This window comes from Homo sapiens, chromosome 6 (genome assembly GCF_000001405.40).
Source record: "Homo sapiens chromosome 6, GRCh38.p14 Primary Assembly".
Taxonomy (NCBI): domain Eukaryota; kingdom Metazoa; phylum Chordata; class Mammalia; order Primates; family Hominidae; genus Homo; species Homo sapiens.
Genome location: NC_000006.12, coordinates 62491900 through 62493122, shown reverse-complemented (window position 1 = coordinate 62493122; position 1223 = coordinate 62491900). Strand labels below are relative to the sequence as shown.

At 53.2% G+C, this 1223-nt stretch overlaps 1 annotated feature.

The window, feature by feature from the left end:
* Positions 305-805: an enhancer, noted in NCBI's record as "H3K27ac hESC enhancer chr6:63202223-63202723 (GRCh37/hg19 assembly coordinates)". NCBI's record gives its function as "activates a minimal SCP1, AML or CMV promoter by ChIP-STARR-seq in naive H9 embryonic stem cells {active_cell/tissue: H9 hESC(naive)}" and the evidence as "EXISTENCE:reporter gene assay evidence [ECO:0000049][PMID:30033119]".

Genomic DNA, 1223 nt, shown 5'->3' with positions numbered 1-1223 from the left:
CCTTTGGAGTAGAAGAAGCATTCTGGTTTTGGAATTTTCAGCCTTTATGCCCTGGTTTTTCCTTATCTTCATGGATTTACCTACCCTTGGTCTTTGCTGTGACCTTCAGATGGAGTTTTTGTGTGGTCATCCTTTTTGTGGATGTTCATGCTATTACTTTCTGTTTGTTAGTTTTCCTTCTAACAGTCAGGCCCCTCTTCCGCAGGTCTGCTAGAGTTTGCTGGGGGTCCACTCCAGACTGTGTTTGGCTGTGTATCACCAGTGGAGGCTGCAGAAGAACAAAGATTGCTGCCTGCTCCTTCCTCTGGAAGCTTCATCCCTGAGGGGCACCCACCAGATGCCAGCTGGAGCTCTCCTGTATGAGGTGTCGGTCAACCCCTGCTGGGAGGTGTCTCCCCTTCAGGAGGCACTGGGGTCAGGGGCCCACTTGAGGAGGCAGTGTGTCTCTTGGCAGACCCGGAGCGCTATTCTGGGAGATCAACTGCTCTCTTCAGAGCTGACAGGCAGGAACGTTTAAGTCTGCTGAAGCTGTGCCCACAGCTGTCCTTTCCCCCCGGTGCTCTGTCCCAGAGAGATGGGAGTTTTGTCTATAAGCTCCTGACTGGGGCTGCTGCCTTACTTTCAGAGATGCCCTGCTAATAGAGGAGGAATCTAGAGAGGCAGTCTGGCTACAACACCTTTGCGGAGCTGCGGGTGGCCTCTACCCAGTCCAAACTTCCTGGTGGCTTTGTTTACACTGTGAGCGGAAAACCACCTACTCAAGCCTCAGTAATGGCGGATGCGCCTCCCCCCACCAAGCTGGAGTGTCCCAGGTTGACTTCAGACTGCTGTGCTGCCAGCAAGAATTTCAAGCCGGTGGATTTTAGCTTGCTGGGCTCTGTGGGGGTGAGATCCAGTAAGCAAGATCACCTGGCTCCCTGGCTTCAGCCCCCTTTCCAGAGGAGTGAACAGTTCTGTCTTGCTGGCATTCCAGGTGCCACTGGGATATGAAAAAATAACTCCTGTAGTTAGCTCAGTGTCTGCCCAAACAACGGCCCAGTTTTGTGCTTGAAACCCAGGGCCCTTGGTGTAGGCACCCAAGGGAATCTCCTGGTCTGTGGGTTGTGAATACCATGGGAAAAGCATAGTATCTGGGCTGGATAGCACCATCCCTCATGACAAAGTCCCTCGGGGCTTCCCTTGCCTAGGGGAAGGAGTTTCCTGACCCCTTGCACTTCCTGGGT